The sequence below is a fragment of the Homo sapiens genome, chromosome 14 (genome assembly GCF_000001405.40).
Source record: "Homo sapiens chromosome 14, GRCh38.p14 Primary Assembly".
In the NCBI taxonomy this organism is placed as follows: Eukaryota; Metazoa; Chordata; class Mammalia; order Primates; family Hominidae; genus Homo; species Homo sapiens.
Genome location: NC_000014.9, coordinates 23,526,845 through 23,552,436, shown reverse-complemented (window position 1 = coordinate 23,552,436; position 25,592 = coordinate 23,526,845). Strand labels below are relative to the sequence as shown.

Below are 25,592 nucleotides of genomic sequence, written 5' to 3'. Positions count from 1 at the left end.
CCTGTAATCCCAGCTACTTAGGAGGCTGAGGTAGGAGAATCGCTTGAACCCGGTGGTGGAGGTTGCAGTGAGCCGAGATCGCACCACTGCACTCCAACCTGGGCGACTGAGTGAGACTCCGTCTCCAGAAAAAAAAAAAAAAAAAAAATTCAGGAGCACTTAATAAGCGATAAACTGAAGATGAGGAGGAGCCCGAACCTCCCCCAACCCAGCTCAGGGGACTATGTAACCGTGTGGAGGAGGCAGAAGCTCTCAGAGACTAAAGAGTAATTGCTGCGGTAGAGAAGGTTCTAGTACCCAATTTCGCGGGGGGAGATGGGGGAGGCGGAATAATAAGGCAGGAAGAAGAGAATGAAAAAAGGAGGCCTTGGGCGGCTCAGGGCTTGTTCTGAAGCTGATTTAAAACAAAACAACAAAACACATGTATGGTTTCTGCAGGCCACAGGATGAAGAGGAGAGGAGACGGAAAAGAGTTTAAAGGGGCCTGCCCTCTTTGCAGGCACCGGCTTGAACCTGGAGGCGACCTGGTGGGCTGGCCGGCCTGCCCCCGGCCCTGGGTCCCGCGAGGCAGGCGGGCGGGCGCGAACAGACTACAACTCCCGGCATGCGCCGCGGCGGGCGGGTCGCTGCACCTGCTCAGTGGGGCAGCCCCGGGCGCCTGGGTATTGATTATTCCATTGTGTGGGACGCCTAGACTCCAGCCAGTGAATGAGGCGGAGGAGTGAGGGCGAGGAGGAGGAGGAGGAGGAGGGCGAGGAGGAGAAGGAGGAGGAGGAGGAGGAGGCAGGGAGCGAGCGAGTGCCCAGGGTGAATCAATGGAAACCCCCTCACGAAGCCGGGGAAACACTTCAGCCGCAGCCAAATAGCATTGATTATTTTCCTTCACTTCCCTCACCGCCGTGAATTTATTTATTTATTTTTTTCCGTCTCCGTCCCTGACGCCCCGGAGCGAGCGCTGGAGGGAGGGAGGAGGAGGGGAAAAAAGAGGAATCAACACATCGGAGAAGTCCCTTCCAAGAGCCGCCCCCTCCCCTCCCCGCCTCGCGCTGCTCGGTGGCCGCGGTTCGACTCCCGTCCCTGCTTCCAGCTGAGGTGTAAGTGCATCGATTTCCGATGCTGCTGGGTTGGTTTTTTTCTCCTCTCCCTCTCTCTCTTCTTCCCTTCCTTGCTCTTTGGAAGCTCGAGACGGGAGAGGAGGCGCTTGGAGACTGCCGCTGGAGGGGACGGAGAGGGACGGGAAGGGGCTGGGGGAGGGGACAAGGACGGACGGACAGACAGACCGAGAGCCCTGGGAGATAGCAGACAGGGGTGTGGGAGGAAGAGGGCGTGCGCGAGGATGGGGGAAGAGAGATGCGGGGGTGGAGGGAGAAACGGGAACGGGAAAGGCAGAGGCCCGCCGGACAGACGAAGGGTATGGAAAGCCTAGACGGACCGCGCCGAGTTGGGCAGGGAGCGGGGATCCCGGGGGGAAGGGGAGGCCCGGTGAGTGTGAGGGCTCAGAGCTGTCAGCCTGGAGGGTCCTGGGTCTCGGCGGCCCCCCGCCGGCTGTGGGATGGGAGAACCGCGGCCGGCGGGCTGATGGATGGGCTAGCGCGCTGGGGCGTGGAGTGGGAGGGGACGTGGATACTCTCAGTCTTCGTTCGTTTTTGGCTGAAGTTGGGCTTTCCATTCCTTTTTTTGAAAGTGTTGAGTAGGTGAGGGGAGGCCATAAGCCCATTCAAGGTGAAGCGTGTCTGTCCTGCACGCCCATCCTACCACCCCCATCCGCTCGTCTGCCCCTCTGAGCAGCCCTATCATTTTCAAGCACAGGACCACGCTTCCTCGCTGTGCCTGTAGCCCCGCTGATCTCTGTCCATGTGTCCCTGACTTTTGGTTTTGCTGTTCTTCATCTTGTCTCTTCCATCCCATCCATCTCTGGATCTGTATGTCACTGTCTCCACTTGTGACCCTTCCCATCTGAGTGATCCTCTCCTTGTGTGTCTCTATCACTATGTGTCACGCCTTGGCTGCCTGTTCTGTCGGTCTAGGATTCCATGCCCTCTCCTTCAGAGTCTGTCTGGATATCTCTGGCCTTTTCAGGCTACTTTGGAATTTGCTTATCAGTCATGATTGTGGTGGTCACAGTCAGGGCCTGGAGGAGTGGGATGATGGAGCAAATGTGTCTTCGCCAAAGCCTCTAGTGCCTTCAGCATGGCCAGGACAGCCTCCTCTTCCACCATCACCAGAGAAGCTTTGGAACTTCCTAGCATTGTTGACTGTCCCCTTTGCCATGTGCCTGTCTCCCTCATCAGAACCTCACCTTCTGGTCTCATGCGTGTCATCTGCCTTTCCAGGAGCTTCGCACAACAAAACCTCTTCCCTGCTGACTTAATTTTACTCCCTTCCCCCACTGTATCATTGTATATTTTTTATTTCCCCATTTTGCTTCACCCCTTTTTTCCATCTGTTTCCCATGAGCTCTGAGTTTCCACCTTTGTTCCCATAATCTGCCCTCTTCCTACCTTTTCTTCTTGATCACCCTAAGTTTCTAGTTTCTTTTATCCCTTTTCCTCTTATCCAGCATTTTAACCCCAGCAGCAGAAAGTACCAGCAAGCAAAGGGCTGGGAGAGGTGTGGGGTATGGTTTGTGAAGGCACATAAACAGGCCAAGAAATAAATTTAATGAGCTTCCAGGGGCATATAACCCCTCCATCAGTCAGTGCCATTATGTCAGTTAACTGTCAACTTTGATTTTGTAAGGGGACATTCCCTAGGACTCTAAGCTCCACCCTGCCTGGTTGCCCCCCATCCTTCAGTTCATTCTAGATATCAGTTGCTTTTTCTTCACTTTTTAGTTCATCTTCTTCCTAGGCCCCTGCTACTATCATATTTAGATCCAGCACCATTTTTTTTTAATGAGGCAGTGTTTATTAGTGTAATAAAAGCTATCGTATGTAAGGAGCCAAGTTCATTTAGCCTGAAGAACAGTAAGGGTGGATAAAGGATCTGGAGAGTTTACCTTAGTTTTTAGCCCATCATTGTTTTTCCAAACCTCAGGAGCTTGGAAAGGTAAAAGGAGCAGGCAGACATGGGCAGAAGATGGACGATTTCAGAGGTGAACAGAATTAAAGAAAGAAAGGGGTGGTCGGTGCAATAAACACATGGGGTAGAGAAATGTATGACGTGAGGGATGTGCAAAGGAAGGGAGGAAAATCTATGCGGACTCGGGGGCAGGGGAGGAACCAAGGGGTGATTAATAAGAAATTGGAAGAATGAAACAAAACGTGTTGATAGCAATACAGAAGGTAAAAGGAAGAGAAATGATAGAATATTCCTAAAGTGGAGGTCAACAGAAAAAGCACTATGAAATTAATACAGTAGTAAAGAGGGGGAAGGGAGGAATTGCTGAACAAGATGAGATGGGAAGAGAGTATGGTACAAAGAAGGTAAATGGATGGCAAACGAAGGAGTGCTGAGGCAGATCAGAGCTGCACAGAGCTTGGTAGGAGGAAAAGAGGAGAGGATGAGGTATCAAAGGAAACAAATGCCTCTGGTGTGAGGAGGACACAGCGTGACTGATGCGAAGAGAGCGAGAGCACTGCGGGGGCGCCGGGGGGTTGGAAAAAAAGCATAGCACAAATAGCAGGAATACCACTGGGCGAAGCCCCAGAAGAGAGAAATGCCCAAGAGAGGGAGAGAAAGCAGAAATATCCAGGGAAGAGACAGAGAGAGAGAGAACCTCACGAGCATTCATTTCATTGGCCTAATCACTCACTACCCCCACGAAAGGCCTTTGTATTTCATTCCCAAGCCAGAACACAAGCAAAGAGATGAAAAAGTAGAATTCCCATAAACTTCAGCTGAGAGGAACTTGAATCTTCCCAGCCCCTGAGAACCAAAGACCTCAAGCCTCTGATGTCATAAATTGCTGGTATTGCCTTGGCAACCTGACAGGGTTCCTCCCTCCATGATGTCAGAGGCAGCTGGTGTTACCTTGAGACCCATACAGGAATCACTTGCTGCTTTGCCGGGGTGCTGTATCACCTACGGGCCAGGGCCTGGGTCGAATTGGTAGGATTTCTGACTCTGGTAGCTTGACCTTGCCTCCCTGGAGCTCTTCCCAGCTCAGAACAACAGTTGTCACAAATAACTCCTGTTTGTGAGCACCTGAGGTTTGCTAGAGCCTGACAGTAGCAAGAGGAAGGAACCTAAGACAGGGCATTGAGGTCAGGATGGTTGGATCAAAAGGCAGGCAGAGACGGAAGAGGAGGACTAGAAATGGCAGTTACAGAATGTGAAAGGAGAAGGGCTTTGTGAGTGGGGAGGAGAGTTGTTGAAAGTGTAATGGCTTTGGGTTTAGGAATGGAGACTAAAGCTAGAATGCAGAGGGAAGGGATCGGGGCTGTGTGAGTGTAAACTCATTCAGGGATTGAGAAAAGGGAAGGGTTGTGAAATGCCAGAGGGCACAGTGGAATTTGGCTGTACAGAAAGGGGGGAAATGGGACAGAGTCCCCTAGTCTGAGAGACTTAGCTGTCTGGTGAGAGACTCAGGGTTAGTCACATGGTCATCTGAGGAGTGGCTACATCTGTCTAGTTTCCAATTGTTTTCCAGCACCTAGCACAGTGTCTGTCACACAGAAAAGGCTTAATAAATATCTACTGATCAAACGTTGAATTAGTAGGGAGAGGCTGGGGGAAAGAGTTGCCCACCTAATTTTCACCCACTCCCCCCACCTAAGTCTACATTAATGGGCAAACTGGGAAATCAGAAACCGGAGGGAATGGCTGGAGGGTAGTTAACCAGTGACAGTGAGATCTGAGGCAGACAGGAGAGACTGGGTTAGGGTCACACTTGGAGGCAGCCAGGGGAACTCTCAGGGCTCATGTGCAGAGTCTTTGTAGTGATAATTGGAGGAAAACATGAATGAACAGCCCTAGGAGCCCAAGAGGAAGATGTGGAGGAGGGAAGAGAAAGGAGGCGGTTTCCAGAAAAGGTTGAGAGTTGTTTCCAAAGAGAGAGTTGGCAAATGTGAATTAAAAGTAGCATCCCCACCCCATTCCCAATCATGAAACTACAATTGAATTGGTCATAACCGTATATATACAATGGCCGCAAATAAGGAGTTCATAAATCAATACCAGACCCATTCTAAACACCTATCCCAAGCCAGGTAATTATTAATACAACGAAGGCAGCATTGGCCATGTGGGCCAAAAGGCCAAAGGAGGGAGAAGTTACTGCTGCCCAGATCTTGATGTAAAGAACCCTGTGAGGGATGGCCTTGACATCTGACTCTCCATTGTTGAAAGACTCCAGAGGTATCTAGAAGAGGGGGAGGCAAGAGATGTAAAACTCACCACAACTCTCAGAGCAAAATCTGCAGAAAGAGGAGGTCTAAATACACAGAAGCTATAGAAAACAAACATGCACCCAATCAGGAATCACGAGGTGAAGGGCCAAAAAGCCCCTGAATGGGTTGAGAAATCTACAAAAGAAGACAGGGGAGAGAGCTGGGAGTGCTGGAGGACAGTCTGGCTATAATAAGCAAGGCCAGGGCAGCTAAAGAAGGGGCTGGTGGGCGGGGGGCCTGAAGGAAGGACAGTGGTGGCTGTTGCACTGTCAGCCACCGCCACGGAGTTGGGCAGCTCATATTTTGCAGCAAGCGACAGGCTGTCGACACAGTGGTCCTTTACCTCACCGTTAGAAACTCATTTCATTGATTTTTCCATCTTTCTTCTCGAGCTCCTCACACTAAGCTCGGTCAGCCCACCACCCACTTTCCCAGAGCCCCTTGCCTCTCTGGGGAAAGTCCTAGGGAACTGCCTGCCCATCCCTCCTCCCCAGGCTGGCAAGGCAGGGGTGAAAGATTTAGAAGTAACTTCCAGCCCCGTAGGGTAATCCCATGGGCTCTCAGTGGCTTCCTCATGTAGGAACTAGTCCAGAGACCAGGGTCCTCATGTGCAGTTGTTAAGGGGTGACAGGGCTGAGGTCCACCCACAGTCCTGTCACCAAGCTGTACCACTGGCATGGGGGCTGCATACACCTGGAGGAAGATATATTTTTCTAATTTCTACTGAGATGCTCAGCACCCCTCAGCATTTTTTACCCCAAAGTCTAATGAGAGAACAGGAGCCCTCTTTCTGTATTTGGCAGGAACACAGGATTACATCAAAGCTAAAGTTCAGGCCTTGGAATTCCCAGCAGGACCATCAACTGGAATGTCGCATGCACAGGGGCCTGTGCAATCAGAAAGACATGAATGTTCCAGGGTGTGCAAGACCTCTCTGCAGAGCAGTTTATGCATGGAGAGTCTGGTCCTGTGGAGCACGTTGATGTGCAAAGTCAGTGGGGCAGAATGGGTGTAGGCAGGAATTTAACTTCATGTATGCACATTTCCCTAGTGCCTCCTCCAGTCATAGCTAACTGCCCTGGACCTCTCCCTTTGGGGCTGGGCTTGGGCTAGAGGTCAAGAGTCAATTACCAGTCATTTGGCTTCTCAGTGAAGGAGGGCAGAGGGTGGGCCAAGAGTGTTAGATTGTGTTTCCCCGAGGACCTGATGGGGTAAACGCCATTTCCATCCTCAGATTTTTCATTCCTTGTTTTGTGATGCCCTTTTCTTTCCCTAATCTCAAGCCTCTGTCTTCTTTATTCCTGGGCCATGGGCATGGGTCTAGATTTTGCTGCTTCTCTTGCCTCCATCACAGTTGTCTGCATTTCCCCCCAGCCATCTCTGTGTTCTGTATCAGTGGTCTGCTTGGGCCACAGATGCCTTTCTTCTCATCTCCAGCTTCTTCAGGCTATGTGGTTTCCACAAACCTACAGATAAATCCTGCTGCTTTAGGGAAAGAAGTGCACTTGAAATTAGAGAGAAGGCCAGGGAAGGATGAGAAAGAGGTTCTGGAAAGATTAGGCAGGGAGAAGTTGGGAGAGAGTATGACAGAGATAGGAGTCAAAGGTGAAAAACCCATGACTTGGAGATGGGAGAGAGCACAGAGAGATGGCCACAATTTAAATGAGAAAGGAAGGAGTGCAGTAGGCTGTGAGGACTAAGAAATTGGAGAGCAAACAGGAAGCCTGACCCCTCCGCAGGGAAATGAAGACAGCTGAGGAGGGCGGACGAGTGGTTGTGTAAGAAGTAGGGCTGAAAAGCCAGGCCATGGTCTCGGCCTGCGTGTCAGTCCTGAGTTCAAGCAGTGCTGGCTTTGACCCTTATGGGAGGAACTGAAGTGGCAAATTAACGACGATAATGAAGTCACTGCTCCTTGTTTGTCTTTGCTGGTTTCCCCTTGAGATTTGTCCTTTGGCCAGACAGGGCAATGTGGGGGAGGGGAGGAACTGGAGCCGTGAAGGGCGGGGGAGAGGGAAGGAAAAGAGGATGGAGAAATGGCAATGTGGAGGACAAATTGACTAGAGGAGAAAAAAGGGAGGGTGATGAGTGAAGAGAAGAGGAGCCCAGAATCGAAGAGAGAAGCGGGAAGGGAGACATGAAAGGAGAATGAAAGAGGAGAGGGGTGCAGAAAAACGGCCAGGGAAAAGAACAATGGGGGACAGGAAAGGGAAACCTGGTAGGAGGAGCAGAAAAAAAAGGTGGGAGAAGGAGAAGTGGAATGGAGAAATGGCGAGCCGGAGGGAAAGAACGTGGCCAGGGCTGCAAAAGCTGCAGCTGGCAGGGCCAGTGGGCGGGGCCTCATCTCCATCTCTAATGGCTGTGAAATGAGGTTAGCGCCATTAGAGGCAGCGAGAGTGTAACGAGATCACACTCATTAGGGCTGGGCCATCCCAGTAATTACCACCACCCTAAACACGCCCGCGCCAGCCGGGCCAACCACATACGGGCTCACAGCAACACACTGAACAGGATACCCTACTACTGAAAGGGAAGCACAGGGCCCACACACGTGTACATGGAGGGCCTGGGAAAATCCAGCCAGGGAGAACAAGCACCTTCACCAACCCCAAAGAAGTACTGGGACAGGGCTACAGCCAGGTTACCAGCTGCCCCACATACAATCAAAAAACAACATACACATACCCCAACACAGGAAATAAGGCATATGGATGAATAATTATTCCATTTCCATTTATTGATACACCCAAAGTGCCAATCTCAATGATGATCCTCTCAATGGACTCAACTCCATGAGTTCCCCATTCCCTTTTTTTTTTTTTTTTTCTGTTTTCTGTTTCTGATGTGTTTGTTTTTAGACAGGGTCTCACTCTGTCACCCAGGCTGGAGTGCAGTGGTGCAATCTCGGCTCACTACAACCTCTGCTTCCCGGGTTCAAGCGATTCTTCTGCCTCAGCCTCCTGAGTAGCTGGGATTACAGGTGCATGCCACCACGCCCGGCTCATTTTTTTTGTATTTTTAGTAGAGACAGGGTTTCACCGTGTTGGCCAGGCTGGTCTCAAGCTCCTGACCTCCAATGATCCACCCACCTCGGCCTCCCAAAGTGCTGGAATTATAGGCGCGTGCCCGGCCTGCCCCATTCTCTATATGAAGAGACTAAATTGAGACTTTACGCAACTTACCTGAGGTCATTTACATATTAAGAAACAGAACTAGAATTTGATTCCAGGTCTGTCTGACTCTAAAGGCTATTTTTTTTTGTTTTTTGAGACAGGGTCTCCCTCTGTTGGAGGGAGAGTGCTTGTCTGATGAAGTTCATATGCTAATATGGATACACATGTGTAGACCTTCAACTTTAAGAGATGTTGTCACAAATGGGTACACATATCATTCAAAGAACACTACCCGCCATTATCTATCCCTTCCCTCCTGTTCCCACTCCCTCCCTCCCGCTCCTTCCCTTCCTTCACACAGGGCATGGCCAGTGCCCCTGCATGGACTGCAGTGTGAATGACGCACCCTGGAGTTGCGCAAAGCAGTGCTCCTCTTCTGGTCCATCTTATACTAAGAAACAAACCAAATGGAAGACAGCCATCTAGCACCTTCAGGCGGAACATGATAGCACATATGCTCAAGGTGACACACAGAGTAATACAATCAGACTCAAAAGACCTCATTCAAAATGCATACCAGCCAGAGTTCAGAAGCTTACAAATTAACCCAAGAGCAGAGGTACTGACATCAGGCTACCTGAGTTCCAATCTCAACTCTACTTCTTTTTAAGCAGGAGATCTTAAAAATTACTTAACCCATCTAAATCAGTCTCCATGTTTGTAAAATAGGAATGAATAGCTACATCTATTGCATCAGATTGAAGTGGAGGATTAGGTGATGTGATACTTGCCGAGGGCCTAGCACGGTGCCTGGCCCATGGCAAACATTTAAAGATGTTAGCTATTTACTATTATTACAATTAGTTTTTGTTGTAATACTATTTAAATGCAGTCATTACATCACACAGGTTCACAGAATAAAATAACCAGAAAGACTTATTTACATACACGGTCACTCAGAATGTTTTCCTTCCAGCCGGGCGCAGTGGCTCACGCCTGTAATCCCAGGCCAAGGTGGGCGGGTCAGGTAGTCAGGAGATAGAGACCATCCTGGACAACATGGTGAAACCCTGTCTCTACTAAAATACAAAAAATTAGCTGCTTGTGGTGGTACGCGCCTGTAATCCCAGCTACTCGGGAGGCTGAGGCAGGGGAATTGCTTGAACCCAGGAGACAGAGATTGCCGTGAGCTGAGATCACACCACTGCACTTCAGCCTGGCAACAGAGACACCATCTCCAAAAAAAAAAAAGAATGTTTTCCTACCAAGTTCTGGGAGACCAAATTCTTCAGCGGTCCCCCATGCAAGGATCAGATAGGATCCTGATTCTGAATTTAAGGGGACAACTCCCTGAGTGCTCATACAGAAGAAGGGTTCCGAGCTGGTTCGTGGTTGTCTAAGCCTGTGGTATGTAGAACGAGAGAACCACATCTAGCAGGATGTGAGTCTCTCCAGTGTACTATAAAATCACATAGATCTGTGCAGCAGAGCAGCTCCACACTGCTGTCCTAACACATCCAACACTTTCCAAGTCATCAAGGGAGATGCCTCCTCTCCTGGACACCCACCCCCATCAGTAGCAGACACTCTGCAGCACACCTCAGCAAATCCATGCAAATGTGAACGTGTGTGGTTTCAGCCTACCGCTTCCCTTCTCCTCCTGTCTGCTCCCTACCACCCCCATCTTCTTCCTGAGCCTACCCTTTTCTCCTCACACCTCACCCAATCTACTCATGCCCACCTTAAGCATCTTGCAAAGTGCAAGAGACAGCCTCCTTGCCACCTCCTTCTCACTGGGGACAGGCCACCATCCCAATCTGGTGCCAGAGCTGGGAGGCCTGGAAAAGATTCAATATATGCAAATCAAGACCTAGCTTCATCTTCCTCTTCACTTCCTTACCTCTCCCTCTCTCCTTCCCTTCTTCCTCCCTCCTCTTCTCTGCCTTAGCGATCTTTCTTTGCCCTTTACAACACTCCTTTTCCTGCTTGTCTCATTCCCTGCCATACTCGTTCTTTCTCTCTCTTTTGGACAAAACTTATTTGCACAAAGTAAGCTCTCCTTAAATATTTATAAAAGGGGAAGGGTCTAGAAGAGATAGGTAGAATTAAAAGGGAAGAATCAAAGTACTGTTTGTTTTCTTTTTAAATATAGAAGGTAAGATTTAGAGATGATAGAATGATAGTTTTAAATGCAGGGATGACTTGGAAAGGATCTTTGGAAAAAAGAAAAAAAGAAGACATGCAGGGAAAGGCCAGAATAGTTTTGATCCACTTATTAGCTGCTTCTGTCCAAATGTGAGCCTGGGCACAATTTCTACTCTTTGCTCTGGAATAATGGGTCTCTCTAGACCCAGCAATCAAGAGGGCTAAGAAGTGAACTCTATGGCTGAGTAGACTAGATTTAAATCCTGGCCGGGTGTGGTGGCTCAGGCCTGTAATCCCAGCACTTTGGGAGGGCGAGGTGGGCAGATCACCTGAGGTTGGGAGTTTGAGACCAGCCTGACCAACATGGAGAAGCTCTGTCTGTACTAAAAATACAAAATTAGCTGGGCGTGGTGGAGCCTGCCTATAGTCTCAGCTACTTGGGAGGCTGAGGCAGGAGAATCGCTTGAACCCAGGGGTGGAGTTTGCAGTGAGCCAAGATCGCACCATTGTACTCCAGCCTGGGCAACAAGAGCGAAACTCCGTCTCAAAAAAAAAAAAAAAAAATCCTGTCCATCTAAGATTCTGCCCTCAGTTGAAAAGGGCAGAGATTAGAGGATGAGTCTTGGTCAAGAAAGGGGTGAACAGAGGCCGGGCGCAGTGGCTCACACCTGTAATCCCAGCACTTGGGGAGGCCAAGGCAGGTGGATCACCTGAGGTCAGGAGTTCGAGACCAGCCTGGCCAACATGGTGAAACCCCGTCTCTACTGAAATACAAAAATTAGCCAGGCCTGGTGGCATGCACCTGTAATCCCAGCTACTCGGGAGGCTATGGCAGGGAGAATCACTTGAACCTGGGAGGTGGAGGTTGCAGTGAGCTGAGATCACACCATTGCACTCCACCCTGGGTGACAGAGCGAGACTCTGTCTCAAAAAAAAAAGAGAGAAAAAAGAAAAAGGGGTGAACAGAAGGAAAGCTGTCAGCCTCTGTGCAAACACCATGCTCCACTCTGTGACGGGAGACAGGAAAGAGAGAAGGAAAAGAACTACCCTCATTGAACACCCAGCAAATGCACTTTACACGTTACCTATCTGGTCTTCACAACTGAGTAAGGAAAATATCATTATTCCCATTTTCCCAGATAAGGAGACTAAGGCTCAATACGTAATTTCCCAGAGTTGCACAGCTAGTGAGTGATGGAGCAAGGATTGAACCTGGCTCTCTGTGTGTGGATCCAAAGCCCATGTTCTTCCATTGCCCTAAAAAATAGAGCTCATCTAGTTATAGTTTATTTGCTGTTTATACCAAACAATCCTCCATACTAGGGGTACACACATCTCATCCTTCCTGTTTCTCTTCCCCTTCTCTCCATGGTCACCTCCTCTTGTAATCAACAGGTTGAGACAAAAAGGGGAGGAAGGCGAGGACAGTGAGTATGGAAGGGTGCAATGCCTGAGGCAACAATTTAAGAGAGGAATTTTTAAAAAAAGGTCCTAAAATTGACTCTAAGGGAAAGTGGGTAGATTAAACAATTAGAAAAGTGAAAGGCAAAACTGTTAGGAAGGTTGGGCTTGGTGGCTCATGCCTGTAATCCCAGCAGTTTGGGAGGCCAAAGCGGGCAGATTGCTTTAGCCCAGGAATCTGAGACCAGCCTGGGCAACATGGCGAAACCTTGTCTCCACAAAAAATACAAAAATTAGCTGGGCGTGGTGGCACATGCCTGTAGTCCCAGCTACTGGGAGGGAGGCTGAGATGGGAGGATCACCTAAGTCTAGGAGGCAGAGTCTGCAGTGAGACAAGATGGTGACACTGCACTCCAGCCTGGGAGACCGAGCGAGACCCTGTCTCAAAAAATGAAAAACAACTGTTTGGAAGGCCCTGATGTGAAAATCATTGTATGCAAACTTGATGGTGCCCTGATAGACTTCACTTCGAAAGACTTTGCCATGGAGTTGGGTTTGGAGAAAAAGGAGTTTTGTTTTTTGGAGGGGAGTTAGGGAGGAAAAAGCCAGTCAGGTCCCATTAGCCCTGCCAACTCCTTGGTGATATTCCCTCTGTAACCACTAGGGAGCAGTAGTGTTTCCTTTCCTCTCTTGGTCAGCCAGAGGTGGGAGGGGGCTGTACCAAAGGGAGCCCTGGTCTTGCTGGGGGATGGGAGGAAGCACCCCTGGTCAGCTTTGCCTCCAGTTCTGCCGGCCAGCCTGAATCCACGACATGGCTCCTCTTCAGCGAGGGGCAGATTCTCTCCTTTCTCAGACTTCAATTTTTTGGTCCTTCCTTTGCCCATGCCCTTTGTCTCTTGTAATTCTCCGGTCCTTAAGTCTCACTATTTCCCCCATCTTGCTCGGTCAGGGCCTGGCTTTTCAGCTTTCCACCTGTGTTTCTGCAACTTTACATCTGAGCCTCTTATCTCTGTCTCATCACATTTCTCTCTCGGCAGCTTTCTGGGTCCTAATGTGTATCTTCCCACCTCCATGGAAGAACATTTGCAGCTCAGTAATTACGACTGTATATATTTTTTTGTTTGTAGGGCATTAACTCCCTGGCTGAGCCTTGAAAGTAGCACTTCCATCCTTCCTTTCTCATCCTGAGAAGTAAACAGAGACCTGGGTCTGGACAGAGGAAGAGGGCAATACCAAAAGGAAAAAATGTCTTCTATTTCTCCACACCTTTCTCTCCATCTTCATCTTCCTCCCCTCCTCAGCCTTGTGACGAAACAGTGCATTAGGGGAGGAGGATAGGCTGAAGGGGCAGCAGGGAACTCTGGAGACTAAGGGCCATTTTGGAGCTGCAAGATTCATCTCAGGGGATGACTACACCCTCAGAACTCTCCGCCCTCCCTTGGCTCCAGGCCTCCCTCCTCCCATCCCCCTCAGTGGCAGCAGCCTTGTAATTTAAAGCTCTCTCTGTCGCCTCTAATGTGATCCTCTCGTTTTATTGACTCTTTCTGCCGTCTGTGGCGCCCCTTCACATCAATCTCCTCTCTAATCACAGCACCGCCACTGCCTGCTCTGTCTCCCCTAACCCCTCTCCTTCACAGAGGCCCCCAGCCCTTGCCTCTACCCAGGTCTTCCCTGACCGTCCCCAACCTCCACCCTACACCAGATCCACCCTCTTCCTCCTTCCTCCTCTTGCCTCCTTCAGAGGAAGCAATGTCAGGGCCTTTCAGGGGTCGCCTTGTCTCTTTACCCACATCTGAGATGTGTCCGCAGGGATAGGGGATGCCCTTAAGGAAAGCCAGGAACTAAAGGGAAGAATGGCGATGGGTCTGAGGATGAGCAAGAATCTTGGTCTTGGGGGTGGCAGGAGGGGATGACTCTTAGGCCTGTCCGTTTCTGCACTGTCTCCAGTTCAAGGTAGGAAGGGCAAAGAAAGGGACCTAGCGATTCTGAGAGGGAAGGAAGGAAAGATGGAGGAGTGAAAATGCAATGAGGGGAAAAAAAGCAAAAAAATAATCGCTGCAGCTAAAGGTTTGTAATAAATAGTGGGTGATGGGAGAAGCTCCGAGAAGAAAGGGGGATGGGGAGTTGGGGTTGGGGGAGGATGTACTGAGGCAGAGATATATTTGCAATTGAAATTCTTTCCTAAAGAGGAGGAGGGTTAGGTTGGGAGGTGGGGAAGAGATTTGCAATTTTAAATAGCTGCCAACCTACCCTCGGCCGATCAGAGTCTCACCTACAAGCTAGCCGAAAGCTAAGCTCCTTTGGTTTCTAGCTAGGAATCAGCTATGTCTTTTTCCAGTTCTAGGAAATAGATGTTTTTGAGAGAGGATCTGGGAGTTACTGTAGGATTTGGGGCTTAGGTCTGCCTAGCCCTACTCTGAGCTGTGATCGAGCGTGGTGAGTCAGGAGCCAGGAAGCAGCTGGTAGGCTTAGGGAGGGTGAGCTGTAGCACTTGGGCCGGCTGGGAGAGAGCACGCACCTGTGTACAGCCCTTGGCGGCAGGGCCCAGGACAGGGCCTCTTGCCCAGTCAGTTATTCCCACCAGGTGGGGTAGTGGAAGGGCGGTGTGGCCCACCCTGTGGGTGACGATGGAATAACAGACCCTCACAAACCAGCACCCTTACCCCTCTCCCCCACCATGGATTCTGTAGGAGGAATACCTTTCTCCCTCAACTTGAGGGCTTCTGCTTTCTGGTTATCGAGAAATCGGCTCCCCTCAGTCCAGTTCCTTCACTTCCCTTTTGGTTCTCCAACTCCCCCGACCTCCCCATCCCTTCCACCCCTTTCCCAGGTGCTGATTTGCATTTTCATTACCATGCTAATCCCACTCCACTCAGCATTCCTTAATGGCTCTGACTTCATGCCTGGCTAGAACCCCAGGAGGAGGGAAGCTACAATGGGGCCTTCAGGTTGGGTGGGGCCAGACTGAGGACCCATTCCAAATAAAAAAGTCTGAAGGTGAGGGTTAGAGGTAGCCCAGGAAAAGAGAGGCCACGCCCCTCGCCCCTTACACGAAGCACTCTGGCCTGAAGCACTACCAGTTTAATCACTAGAGATCTGCTAATACGAGAGCTAGAGAGGACGTAGATGGGCCAACTGGGACCTTGGGGGAAGTATAGGATGGAGAGGCATGGGAATTGGTGAGTTTGAGGGGGAGGTTCCTGATTTAGAAAAAAAAAAAAGGATGGGAGCCTTGGCGCTTCTGTCAGCTGGAGGCAGCCCAGGAATCCTCATTTCTTTCTTTCTGTTTTTTTGGTGAGACGGAGTTTCATTCTTGTTGCCCAGGCTGAAGTACGATGGTGCAGTCCCGATGGTGCAGTCCCGGCTCACTGCAAGCTCTGCCTCCCAGTTTCAAGCTGTTCTCCTGCCTCAGCCTCCTGAGTAGCTGGGATTACAGGCATGCACCACCACGCCCAACTAATTTCTTTGTATTTTTAGTAGAGACAGGGTTTCACCATGTTGGCCAGGCTAGTCTCAAACTCCTGACCTCAGGTGATCTGCCTGCCTCGGCCTCCCAAAGTGCTGGGATTACAGATGTGAGCCACCGTGCCCAGACTGGAATCCTCATTTCTAGTCCTTTGGAGTCTCATTTTACCTGTATTGTGTCCAAGGGACAGTCTAGCTGGGTGGAGGAGTCTAGACCACAACTTTGGGGTTTACTCAGTGCCTCATCAGTCCATTTCTAGTTTCACTATCTTGGAGCTGTGTGACCCTCAGTAGCTCACTTAACATCTCTGTTTCTTGGATGCCCCATCCATAAAATAAGGTTGCTGTGAGATTAAATGAGATGATTAACATAAAGCATTTAACATAGTGCCAGGACCATGGTATATGTACCTACATAACTATTAGTAATATTATTACTATTACTTATTATTTGTTACCTCTTTTGGGAGGAAGAGGAGGCAACCGACTAGCTGTTATCTTTCAACTGACCAGAGAAGCTCCCATCTGTTCCACATGCTGTGACCAGAGATGGATCTGGAAGGCATTGGAGAGAAGCATGGTGCCTGCATGCCAGGGGAAATCAATTATGCCCTATCTCTGGCAAGACTTAGGGAATTTACCTCGTCAGGGTATGGAAAATCTGAGGGTCTTTCCTAGAATTCTGCCATTCAAAAGACACTGACTGTGGCAGGCATTGTTTTCTGTGCTAAAGATAGAGCAAAAACTAAAGCCCCCATTCTGGCTGCTGGATGGAGAGAAAATACACTGTAGCGGGCAGTAGTGGAAGTGGGAGGCCAGTGTGGCATCTGTTGTGTTAGTCCAGGAAAGAGATGATAATGGCCTGCCTTCTGTGCTGCCCGGATTTCAGCGGGCCCCAGGATGGTGTTAGTGAAGGAGATAAATGGAGGGATTGACATGTTTTAGAAGTTGCTGTTGAAGTGGATATGTCCAGTAGGTGAGGGCAAGATAAAACTTTGGGTTTTTAGTCTAAGCCACTGGATAAATGTTGGTACCAACTTTGGAGATAGGAAAGATGGGGAGGAGCAGGTTCAGGGGACAAATAAAGAGTTCTAGGCTGGGCGCGGTGGCTCACGCCTATAATCCTAGCACTTTGGGAGGCCGAGGTGGGCGGATCACTTGAGGTCGGGAGTTAGAGACCAGCCTGACCAACACGGAGAAACCCCGTCTCTACTAAAAATACAAAATTAGTCAGGTGTGGTGGCACAAGCCTGTAATCCCAGCTACTCAGGAGGCTGAGGCAGGAGAATCACTTGAACCCAGGAGGTGGAGGTTGCGGTGAGCCGAGATCACGCCATTGCACTCCATCCTGGGCAACAAGAGCAAAACTCCATCTCAAAAAAAAATTAATTAATTAATAAAATAAAATAAAATAAATAAAATGAAGAGTTCTGATGTTGGACATATTAAGTTTTGAAGCATGTTAGACACTAAGTGAAATTTCAGGTTAGCAAAGTGGTGTCTGAGTCTGGTGTTCAGGGAAGAGGATGGGGCAGGAGTATCCAGAGATCCAGCTGCCCAGCTGGGGTCCCTGCAGCCTCACAGCACTGCTCTCTCCTTGTCTCCCTACAGGGTACTGGCTGTCACGCTGACATGAGCCCCCAGCACTCCTCCGTCTACCATGGCCACCCTTAACTCAGCCTCTACCACTGGTACCACCCCCTCCCCTGGGCACAATGCCCCGTCCCTGCCTTCGGACACCTTCTCCTCCAGCACCCCCTCTGATCCTGTCACCAAAGATCCCCCTGCTGCCTCCTCCACCTCTGAGAACATGAGGTCCTCAGAGCCAGGGGGACAGCTCCTGGAGTCGGGCTGTGGCCTCGTCCCACCAAAGGAGATTGGGGAGCCCCAGGAAGGGCCTGACTGTGGTCACTTCCCACCAAATGACCCAGGGGTGGAAAAGGACAAGGAGCAGGAGGAGGAAGAAGAAGGGCTCCCTCCCATGGACCTAAGCAACCACTTATTCTTCACAGCTGGAGGTGAGGCCTACCTAGTGGCCAAGCTGTCCCTGCCAGGTGGCAGTGAACTCCTGTTACCAAAGGGCTTCCCCTGGGGTGAGGCGGGCATCAAGGAAGAGCCCAGTCTGCCCTTCCTTGCCTACCCACCCCCCTCACACCTCACTGCCCTTCACATCCAACATGGCTTTGACCCAATCCAAGGCTTTAGCTCTTCTGACCAAATTCTGTCCCATGATACCTCAGCACCATCTCCGGCTGCCTGTGAGGAAAGGCATGGAGCTTTCTGGAGCTACCAGCTGGCTCCAAATCCACCCGGAGATCCCAAAGATGGCCCCATGGGGAACAGCGGGGGCAACCACGTGGCGGTCTTCTGGCTCTGCCTTCTGTGCCGCCTGGGTTTCAGCAAGCCCCAGGCCTTTATGGATCACACACAGTCTCATGGGGTGAAGCTAACCCCTGCCCAATATCAGGGCCTGTCAGGTAGCCCAGCTGTACTCCAGGAGGGAGATGAAGGCTGCAAGGCCCTCATAAGCTTTCTGGAGCCAAAACTCCCTGCTCGCCCCTCTTCTGACATACCCCTTGACAACAGCAGCACAGTGAACATGGAGGCGAATGTGGCCCAGACAGAGGATGGCCCCCCTGAGGCAGAAGTCCAGGCCCTTATCCTCCTGGATGAAGAAGTTATGGCCCTCAGCCCACCCTCTCCACCCACAGCCACCTGGGACCCCAGCCCAACCCAAGCCAAAGAATCGCCAGTAGCAGCAGGCGAGGCAGGGCCAGATTGGTTCCCTGAGGGGCAAGAAGAGGATGGAGGGCTCTGCCCCCCACTCAACCAAAGCTCACCCACCTCCAAGGAGGGGGGCACTCTCCCTGCCCCAGTGGGCTCCCCCGAAGACCCCAGTGACCCACCCCAGCCCTATCGCCTAGCTGATGACTACACCCCAGCCCCTGCAGCCTTCCAGGGCCTCAGCCTGTCCAGCCACATGTCCCTGCTCCACTCACGCAACTCCTGCAAGACACTCAAGTGTCCCAAGTGCAACTGGCACTACAAGTACCAGCAGACCCTGGATGTGCACATGCGAGAGAAGCACCCTGAGAGCAACAGTCACTGCAGCTACTGCAGTGCTGGGGGCGCCCACCCCCGCCTTGCTCGTGGAGAGAGCTACAACTGTGGCTACAAACCCTACCGCTGTGACGTCTGCAACTACTCTACAACCACCAAAGGCAACCTCAGCATCCATATGCAGTCTGACAAGCACCTGGCCAACCTACAGGGCTTCCAGGCGGGCCCTGGTGGGCAGGGAAGTCCACCAGAGGCATCACTCCCACCCTCCGCGGGAGACAAAGAGCCTAAGACCAAATCATCCTGGCAGTGCAAGGTGTGCAGCTACGAGACAAACATCTCCCGTAACCTGCGCATCCATATGACCTCTGAGAAGCACATGCAGAATGTCCTAATGCTGCACCAGGGGCTGCCGCTGGGCCTGCCACCTGGATTGATGGGGCCAGGCCCTCCTCCCCCACCAGGGGCTACCCCCACTAGCCCCCCTGAACTCTTCCAGTACTTTGGGCCCCAGGCCCTAGGGCAGCCTCAGACTCCCTTGGCTGGCCCGGGGCTGAGGCCAGACAAGCCCCTGGAAGCCCAGCTACTTCTCAATGGTTTCCACCACGTAGGAGCACCTGCCCGCAAGTTCCCCACATCCGGTAAGCTTCTGTGCTTCTTCCCTCTTCTCTCCTCCCCAGGGCCAAACTCTATTCCGTGCTTTCTCCCAAGGACCAACTCCCCACTTAGGTAACCATAAGTCCCTCTGAGCACTATCCTACTCATTAACCCACCTCCCCACATAGAGAACCAACCGTGCCCCATTTCTTTCTTGGGCCACTAATCTGTCTCTGTCCTCTAGCCCCTGGAAGCCTATCCCCTGATGCCCACCTGCCTCCAAGTCAGCTCCTGGGTTCCTCATCTGACAGCCTGCCCACCTCACCACCCCCAGACGACAGCCTGTCCCTGAAGGTGTTCCGCTGCCTAGTGTGCCAGGCCTTCAGCACAGACAGCCTGGAGCTGCTGCTCTACCACTGCAGCATAGGCCGGAGCCTCCCGGAAGCTGAATGGAAGGAGGTGGCTGGTGACACCCACCGCTGCAAGCTTTGCTGCTATGGCACCCAGCTCAAGGCCAACTTCCAACTCCACCTCAAGACTGACAAACATGCTCAGAAGTACCAGCTGGCAGCCCACCTGCGGGAGGGGGGTGGAGCCATGGGCACCCCTTCCCCAGCATCCCTGGGAGATGGGGCTCCTTATGGGTCTGTCTCCCCACTACACCTGCGCTGCAACATCTGTGACTTTGAGTCCAACAGCAAGGAGAAGATGCAGCTGCATGCCAGGGGTGCAGCCCACGAAGAAAACAGCCAAATCTATAAGGTGAGGCTGGGTCAGGAAGGGCCATCGGAAGAGGAGAAGGGAATGGGGACAGAGGGAGGAGATGCAGAATAAGAAAGTGATAGGAAAACCCTGGGTGACAAATGGAGAAAAAGGAAAGTATGCACCAGGTAATGACATATGTACCAGGGTAACAAAGTGACAGACATGGAGAAAGAGACCAAAGGATAGTAAACTCTGACAAGTGAAACAGACTTTATTCAGCTCTTCTGGTGTTTGGCCCTGGAGGGAGGGGTGGTATCAGCTCAGTTTGTCATGTCACCAGAGGTTCAAGAGGATGGAACCAGACTCCATTTGCATGCTGGGAGGGAGTCCAGGAGTGGTAGGAGAAAGAGAAAGGGTTGGGGAGAGCAAGCAATAATACTTAGGTGGCCATAGGAGGGAAAGGGGGGGTTTCAGGAGCAGGAAGCGAGGGGTGGGGAGGGGGCTGCTGCTAGTCAGTCTCCCTTAGGGAAGGCAAAGAAGTCCCCTGAGGCTAGGTGCGGTGGCTCACGCCTGTAGTCCCGGCACTTTGGGAGGCCGAGGCGGGAGGATCACTTGAAGTCAGGAGTTCGAGACCAGCCTGGCCAACATGGTGAAACCCCATCTGTACTAAAAATACAAAAATTAGCCAGGTGTGGTGCGCATGCCTGTAATCCCAGCTACTCGGGAGGCTGAGGCATGAGAATCACTGAACCCAGGAGGTAGAGGCTTCAGTGAGTAGAGATCATGCCACTGCACTCCAGCCTGGGCAACAGGGCAAGACTCTCTCTAGAAAAAAAAAAAAAGTCCCCTGAGGTCTGGCATGTCCCTTCTGGGCCTGAGCCAGCCTCTTCCCATGGTTCTAGTTTCTGCTGGACATGGAGGGAGCGGAGGCAGGGGCAGAGCTGGGGCTATACCACTGCCTGTTGTGTGCGTGGGAGACACCCTCCCGCTTGGCTGTGCTGCAACACCTGCGCACACCTGCCCACCGCGATGCCCAGGCCCAGAGGCGTCTGCAGCTGCTACAGAATGGCCCAACCACTGAGGAAGGACTCGCAGCTCTTCAGAGCATCCTGAGCTTCAGCCACGGGCAGCTCCGGACTCCCGGTGAGGAAGAAGGGACTGGAGAATAAGAGCTGGGCAGGGAGGGCAGCAGGATGTGGGGAGCAGGGGGGCTGCGGAGTTAGAGATACAAGGAAGGCGAAGAGGGCCTGTAGGCCACCTATACTAAATGGGAAGAAGCTGCGAAGGGATAAGACAGAATGAGCGTGTCAGGCACTGTGGAGGCTACCTTGAGTGGAGGGGCAAAGAAGGGCAGGGGCTTTGCTGGGTGGATGACATAGAACAGGAAGAGGGTGAAGAGGAACCACCCAGTGATTCTGAGTAGTGACTAGTGTCCTGGTAATGCTGGAGGGTGGCAGGCTGGAGCTGGGTAGGAAGGAGAGAGAACCTGTTTTGTGCTGGGCCAGGGCTTCTTGGAAGGAGATAGGAGCTGTGGGCATGATCCAAAGGCAGCAGGGATGGGAAGAGGCCCCTGACAAGCTTCCCAGCCTCTTCCTGTCTCCTAGGAGGTCTTCAGCCCTAAGGCTGGGCTTAGAGTCACCCTTAGGCAGCTGAGGTTGTACCAGCAGAGGCCGGGAACAGCCAGCCAGGCACCATTGATCCAGAGGGTACAGGAGAAGAGCCTGCAAGGGGCTGCCAGAGGTGGGCATGGGCGTCGGGCTTTGCAGAGCCAGTGGTGGGCAAGGGCGAGGGCATGGGCAGCAGGAGCCAGGAACACGCAGCATTGACTGGTGCTAATTGAATTGCCAATATGCTGGCTGGAGTTAAGTGCCGGAGGGGCCCAGATCAATAGCTAACGATCCTGGCGCAGGGCTGAATGGAGTTAAGGAACTTTAACACTTTAATTAGGCTGCCACCGAAAATAAATTCCTACACATCTGTCAATTCTTACTTGAGCGGTAATCTCCTCTTCCAGCTAGACCTGCCACTTCCTGCTCACTGCAGCAGCTGCTTCCATTCAGCCAAGGCTTCCTTCTTCAGTGCCCCTCCTACTACATTTCTCTGGGGCTTCCCATTTCCTGGGTCATTTAAGACAGGGAGCTGAGTTTGGTCTTGTTTCTGCTGTCTACTGCTGGACTTCTATAAAAGGACAGGAACTGGACTCTTAATAAAATGATCTCTTAGGCCCTACCAGTTCTAATACTGTAATTTTCCCTCTATCTTCTGTGTGGGTGTTTCTTTTTGTTGGCTTTTCATACTCTCCTACCTGCTGATTGAGCCATCCATTTTCTCCTTCATTGACTGGCTGCTTGTCCTGCTTCCTCTGTCCTATGTCCTCCCTTCCCTGATGCCACACCTCTTTAAGCTGACTCTCCCCCCATCCTACACAGGGAAGGCTCCTGTCACCCCCTTAGCTGAGCCACCCACCCCTGAGAAAGATGCCCAGAACAAGACAGAACAATTGGGTGAGTTTTCCCTCCCTTCCCCCCAGTCCTCCTACCTTCTGAGACGCTCACGGGACCTTGCAGTAATCCAGGAGCCCAGCAATGTCTGTGCTCAAGGAGCAAAACTGATTAAAGAAAGGGCTCATCAGGGGGAAGGGAGGCTGAGCCACGAGAGGCTAGGCACTTCCGCCCTCTTTGAGAACTCAGACCTGACCATCCTACTGACCCGGAGTCAGCCCTTGCCAAGCCTCACCTATCTACTGAGTTTCCTGCCCTTTCTCTAGTGCCCAACTCCCTACCCTGGAAGCTCTCTGCTACAAATCATCTTGAGGGCTGTCAGGGTTCCTTAATCTCCTCTTCTTTCATCCTCAGCTTCAGAAGAGACAGAAAACAAGACTGGCCCTTCCAGAGACAGTGCCAACCAGACCACGGTCAGAATTGGGGTAACTGGGAAGAGCTGAAGTGGGGGCCTGGCTTTACTGAGATCTGCTCATATTCTAAAGGCAGACGTAATTTTGTCATGCTTTGACTTATTTCACTCAGAATAGCACAGTTAAGAAATTCCACCCAGATCCAGTTCCACATGTTCAGCACTTTCGGGGGCAGAGCTGGCCCAGCAGGGTCAAGCACAGAGGGAGATGATAGGAGGGAGACAGCAGGAACTTGAGGGAAAGATGAATAAAGGAATTGTGCTGAGAGTAGGAAAGAGTGGGGGTACATGCTGGAAGGAGGGGAGGAGAAAGGCAAAAGCAAACAACCAGCTACTGCCCAGCTCTTTATCCCTTAGTTAGGAGCAGAAAGACAAGACACCGGTGTTCCTACCCTACAAAACGCCCTGAGCCTGGATGGAACTGTCCTGGCATCCTCTTACTAAGGGTAGGGGCACCAACCAAATGATTCACACTGACAGCATGTGCCACAAATCTCTAAATCCCCAGGACTCAGACCTAGGCAGCACCCAGGAATGGCAGCTCTGTGTTCTGAGGGGATTCCCAGCCTCTGGTTTGAGATGCCATCCTGTGCCTCACAGCTCTCCAAACTGGACTACAATATGTAACATTTATTGTTATTGCAATACGCAGTGTTACTGCATTACTGCAAGCTGAAGTAATGCCTTATGTCCTCAGCATCTTTTCTTCCTAACTCCTGCTCCCGCCAACAGACCTCTTCCAGATGTCTGCTCCAGGGGCTAGGTGCGTTAAGATGAGCATCTGGATCCCCTTCCTTTACAGTCATCCCCTCCCTGACACACAGGCCTGTGCCACTGGTGCCAGCCTGGATGCAGGCTGGGTAGGTCTGGCAGTCAGGTGATGGTGGGGCCTCTGGCAGCCTCACCCCTCTGGAAGTGTGGCTGAGAATGTGCTGAGAGGGCTGGGCCAGAATTTTCCTGGGCCACTGGGGGAGCTGTGGTGTTTATTCACATTAGGAAAAAGAAGAAGGAAAAAGAAAGATGGAAAATAAGGTGGGAGCTGCTGAGCCTGAGGGAGGATGAGCTGGCTTCTGAGCAGACAGGTAGGGCCCCTTTCCAGGTGATGGTTCACAGAGGCAGAGTGGGCAGGGACAAGGGAGCCTCTGGGTCCAGAAAATGCCCAGAGGAAATGGAACCATTTCACAGAGAAGACACGACAGGATAGGATAGGTAAGAGAAGAAAACTAAATCCAAGGTGGGGGCAGTAGGTACAGAGCCATCTGTTAGCTGGAGAGTTGAGGCAGGCAGCAAAGACTGGGAAAGACACACCAAGAAAAGGCAGAGAGGCCAGGATGGTGGAAGAGGGCCAGACAAAGAAGGAGTGCAAGGTAGCGGCCTAAGCTAGGCCTTTGTCCCAATCCAAGGGAAAGTGGGGAGGAGCCAGCTCTCAGGACTGTGGCTGGAGGCTGGGTCTGCTATAATGCCTTCCTATCTGGCTAGTTCCTCTTCAATTAGGAGTGAGAGGCCAAGCGTGGTGGCTCACGCCTGTAATCCCAGCACTTTGGGAAGCCAAGATGAGTAGATCACCTGGCATCAGGAGTTCAAGACCAACCTGGCCAATGTGGCAAAACCCTGTCTCCACTAAAAAATACAAAAATTAGCTGGGCGTGGTTGCACACGCCTGTAATCCCAGCTGCTTGGGAGGCTGAGGGCAGGAGAATTGCTTGAACCTGGAAGGCGGAGGTTGCAGTGAGCCGAGATCACGTCACTGCACTCCGGCCTGGGTGACAGAGCCAGACTCCATCTAAAAAAAAAAAAAAAAAAAAAAAAGGAGTGGGGGCGGGCCAGTGCTGCATCCAAAGGACTATGTGATGGTGGGTCCCATCCTTCCCTGACACTTCGTCCACTGCCCATATGTTCCCTCCAGGTATACTGCTGTCCATACTGCAGCTTCCTGAGCCCAGAGTCCAGCCAGGTGAGGGCTCATACACTCTCCCAGCATGCAGTGCAGCCCAAGTACAGATGCCCACTGTGCCAGGAACAGCTGGTGGGCCGGCCTGCCCTGCACTTCCACCTTAGCCACCTTCACAACGTGGTGCCCGAGTGCGTTGAGAAGCTGCTGCTTGTAGTGAGTACAGGCTGGGTGAGGACGGTACAACAAGACCTTATTAGGGCTGTGCAGGAGGGGAGGAAGAGGCAGGGGTATTCAGGCAGGTGCATGTGTTGGGGGCAGGGGGCATTCAGGCAAGTGCGTGTGTTGGCTGGGTGAGGACGGTCCGACAAGGCCTTGTTAGGGCCATCCAGGAGGGGAGGAAGAGGCAGGAGTATTCAGGCAAGTGCATGTGTTGGCAACAAAAGCAGCATTTCATGGATTTGAAGTTGGATTTTAGAGAGGGAGACTCAGAACTGAGCTTGTCTAGCTGCCTCTACTTAAGAGATGAGGCAGAGGCTTCTGTTTCACCTCCACTAAGTCCTGAGAAGAGTTGTTGAACAGCAGGTACCAGCCTGCCAGACCAGGTAGCCTCAAAGAATGATGACTTCTGGTTTGGGGAAAGAGGAAGCCAGATAGGAGAGGTAGCAGCCCAGGCTCTCTCATCTGTAGCAAAAGCAGCAATTAGGTGGGAGGTTTGTTCAGACAGGAGGCTGGATCTGTGGCAAGGGATCTCGGCACAAGTACAGGTGTAGGGCAGATGGGTCAGGAGTGGCATAGGGGCAGTGGGGGGTGGTGGTGAAGCCACTAGGCTTTTTCTCATTGCAGGCTACAACTGTAGAAATGACATTTACAACCAAAGTGCTGTCTGCACCCACATTAAGCCCTCTGGACAATGGCCAAGAACCCCCCACTCATGGGCCAGAGCCTACACCGAGCAGAGACCAGGCAGCAGGT

The 25,592-nt window shown here is 51.6% G+C and overlaps 2 protein-coding genes and 1 long non-coding RNA gene across 17 annotated transcripts in view, besides 7 other annotated features; 1 reads left to right on the top strand and 2 right to left on the bottom strand.

Moving 5' to 3' along the window:
• Window positions 1-25,592, bottom strand: part of THTPA (thiamine triphosphatase) — a 48,512-nt gene that overhangs the window by 7,835 nt on the left and 15,085 nt on the right. The window lies entirely within an intron of this gene.
• ZFHX2 (zinc finger homeobox 2) overlaps window positions 1-25,592 on the top strand; it is a 35,096-nt gene that overhangs the window by 3,516 nt on the left and 5,988 nt on the right. The window contains exons 2-9 of one of the 14 annotated variants that reach the window (XM_047431824.1): window positions 17,063-19,152; window positions 19,353-19,665; window positions 19,807-19,870; window positions 20,716-20,956; window positions 22,243-22,317; window positions 22,669-22,739; window positions 24,633-24,833; window positions 25,464-25,590. In XM_047431824.1, the coding sequence (XP_047287780.1) occupies window positions 17,112-19,152; window positions 19,353-19,665; window positions 19,807-19,870; window positions 20,716-20,956; window positions 22,243-22,317; window positions 22,669-22,739; window positions 24,633-24,833; window positions 25,464-25,590 (3,133 nt within the window). In that variant the 5' untranslated portion in view covers window positions 17,063-17,111. The other 13 variants (XM_047431821.1, XM_047431823.1, XM_047431822.1 and 10 more) reach the window with 13 other exon arrangements.
• Window positions 319-368: an enhancer, noted in NCBI's record as "active region_8172". NCBI's record gives its function as "activates an Ori minimal core promoter by ATAC-STARR-seq in GM12878 lymphoblastoid cells {active_cell/tissue: GM12878}" and the evidence as "EXISTENCE:reporter gene assay evidence [ECO:0000049][PMID:35858748]".
• Window positions 499-738: a silencer, noted in NCBI's record as "silent region_5610". NCBI's record gives its function as "represses an Ori minimal core promoter by ATAC-STARR-seq in GM12878 lymphoblastoid cells {active_cell/tissue: GM12878}" and the evidence as "EXISTENCE:reporter gene assay evidence [ECO:0000049][PMID:35858748]".
• Window positions 1,218-1,880: an enhancer, noted in NCBI's record as "NANOG-H3K27ac-H3K4me1 hESC enhancer chr14:24019766-24020428 (GRCh37/hg19 assembly coordinates)". NCBI's record gives its function as "activates a minimal SCP1, AML or CMV promoter by ChIP-STARR-seq in primed H9 embryonic stem cells {active_cell/tissue: H9 hESC(primed)}" and the evidence as "EXISTENCE:reporter gene assay evidence [ECO:0000049][PMID:30033119]".
• Window positions 4,004-4,627: an enhancer, noted in NCBI's record as "H3K27ac-H3K4me1 hESC enhancer chr14:24017019-24017642 (GRCh37/hg19 assembly coordinates)". NCBI's record gives its function as "activates a minimal SCP1, AML or CMV promoter by ChIP-STARR-seq in primed H9 embryonic stem cells {active_cell/tissue: H9 hESC(primed)}" and the evidence as "EXISTENCE:reporter gene assay evidence [ECO:0000049][PMID:30033119]".
• Window positions 6,500-7,124: an enhancer, noted in NCBI's record as "H3K27ac-H3K4me1 hESC enhancer chr14:24014522-24015146 (GRCh37/hg19 assembly coordinates)". NCBI's record gives its function as "activates a minimal SCP1, AML or CMV promoter by ChIP-STARR-seq in naive H9 embryonic stem cells {active_cell/tissue: H9 hESC(naive)}" and the evidence as "EXISTENCE:reporter gene assay evidence [ECO:0000049][PMID:30033119]".
• Window positions 14,142-15,021: an enhancer, noted in NCBI's record as "OCT4-NANOG-H3K27ac-H3K4me1 hESC enhancer chr14:24006625-24007504 (GRCh37/hg19 assembly coordinates)". NCBI's record gives its function as "activates a minimal SCP1, AML or CMV promoter by ChIP-STARR-seq in primed H9 embryonic stem cells {active_cell/tissue: H9 hESC(primed)}" and the evidence as "EXISTENCE:reporter gene assay evidence [ECO:0000049][PMID:30033119]".
• Window positions 19,654-20,154: an enhancer, noted in NCBI's record as "H3K4me1 hESC enhancer chr14:24001492-24001992 (GRCh37/hg19 assembly coordinates)". NCBI's record gives its function as "activates a minimal SCP1, AML or CMV promoter by ChIP-STARR-seq in primed H9 embryonic stem cells {active_cell/tissue: H9 hESC(primed)}" and the evidence as "EXISTENCE:reporter gene assay evidence [ECO:0000049][PMID:30033119]".
• LOC124903289 (uncharacterized) lies at window positions 20,065-22,423 on the bottom strand. Its single transcript, XR_007064079.1, has 2 exons — window positions 22,353-22,423; window positions 20,065-21,991 (listed from the first exon to the last, which is right to left on the bottom strand). It is a non-coding gene; the product is annotated as an uncharacterized LOC124903289 (long non-coding RNA).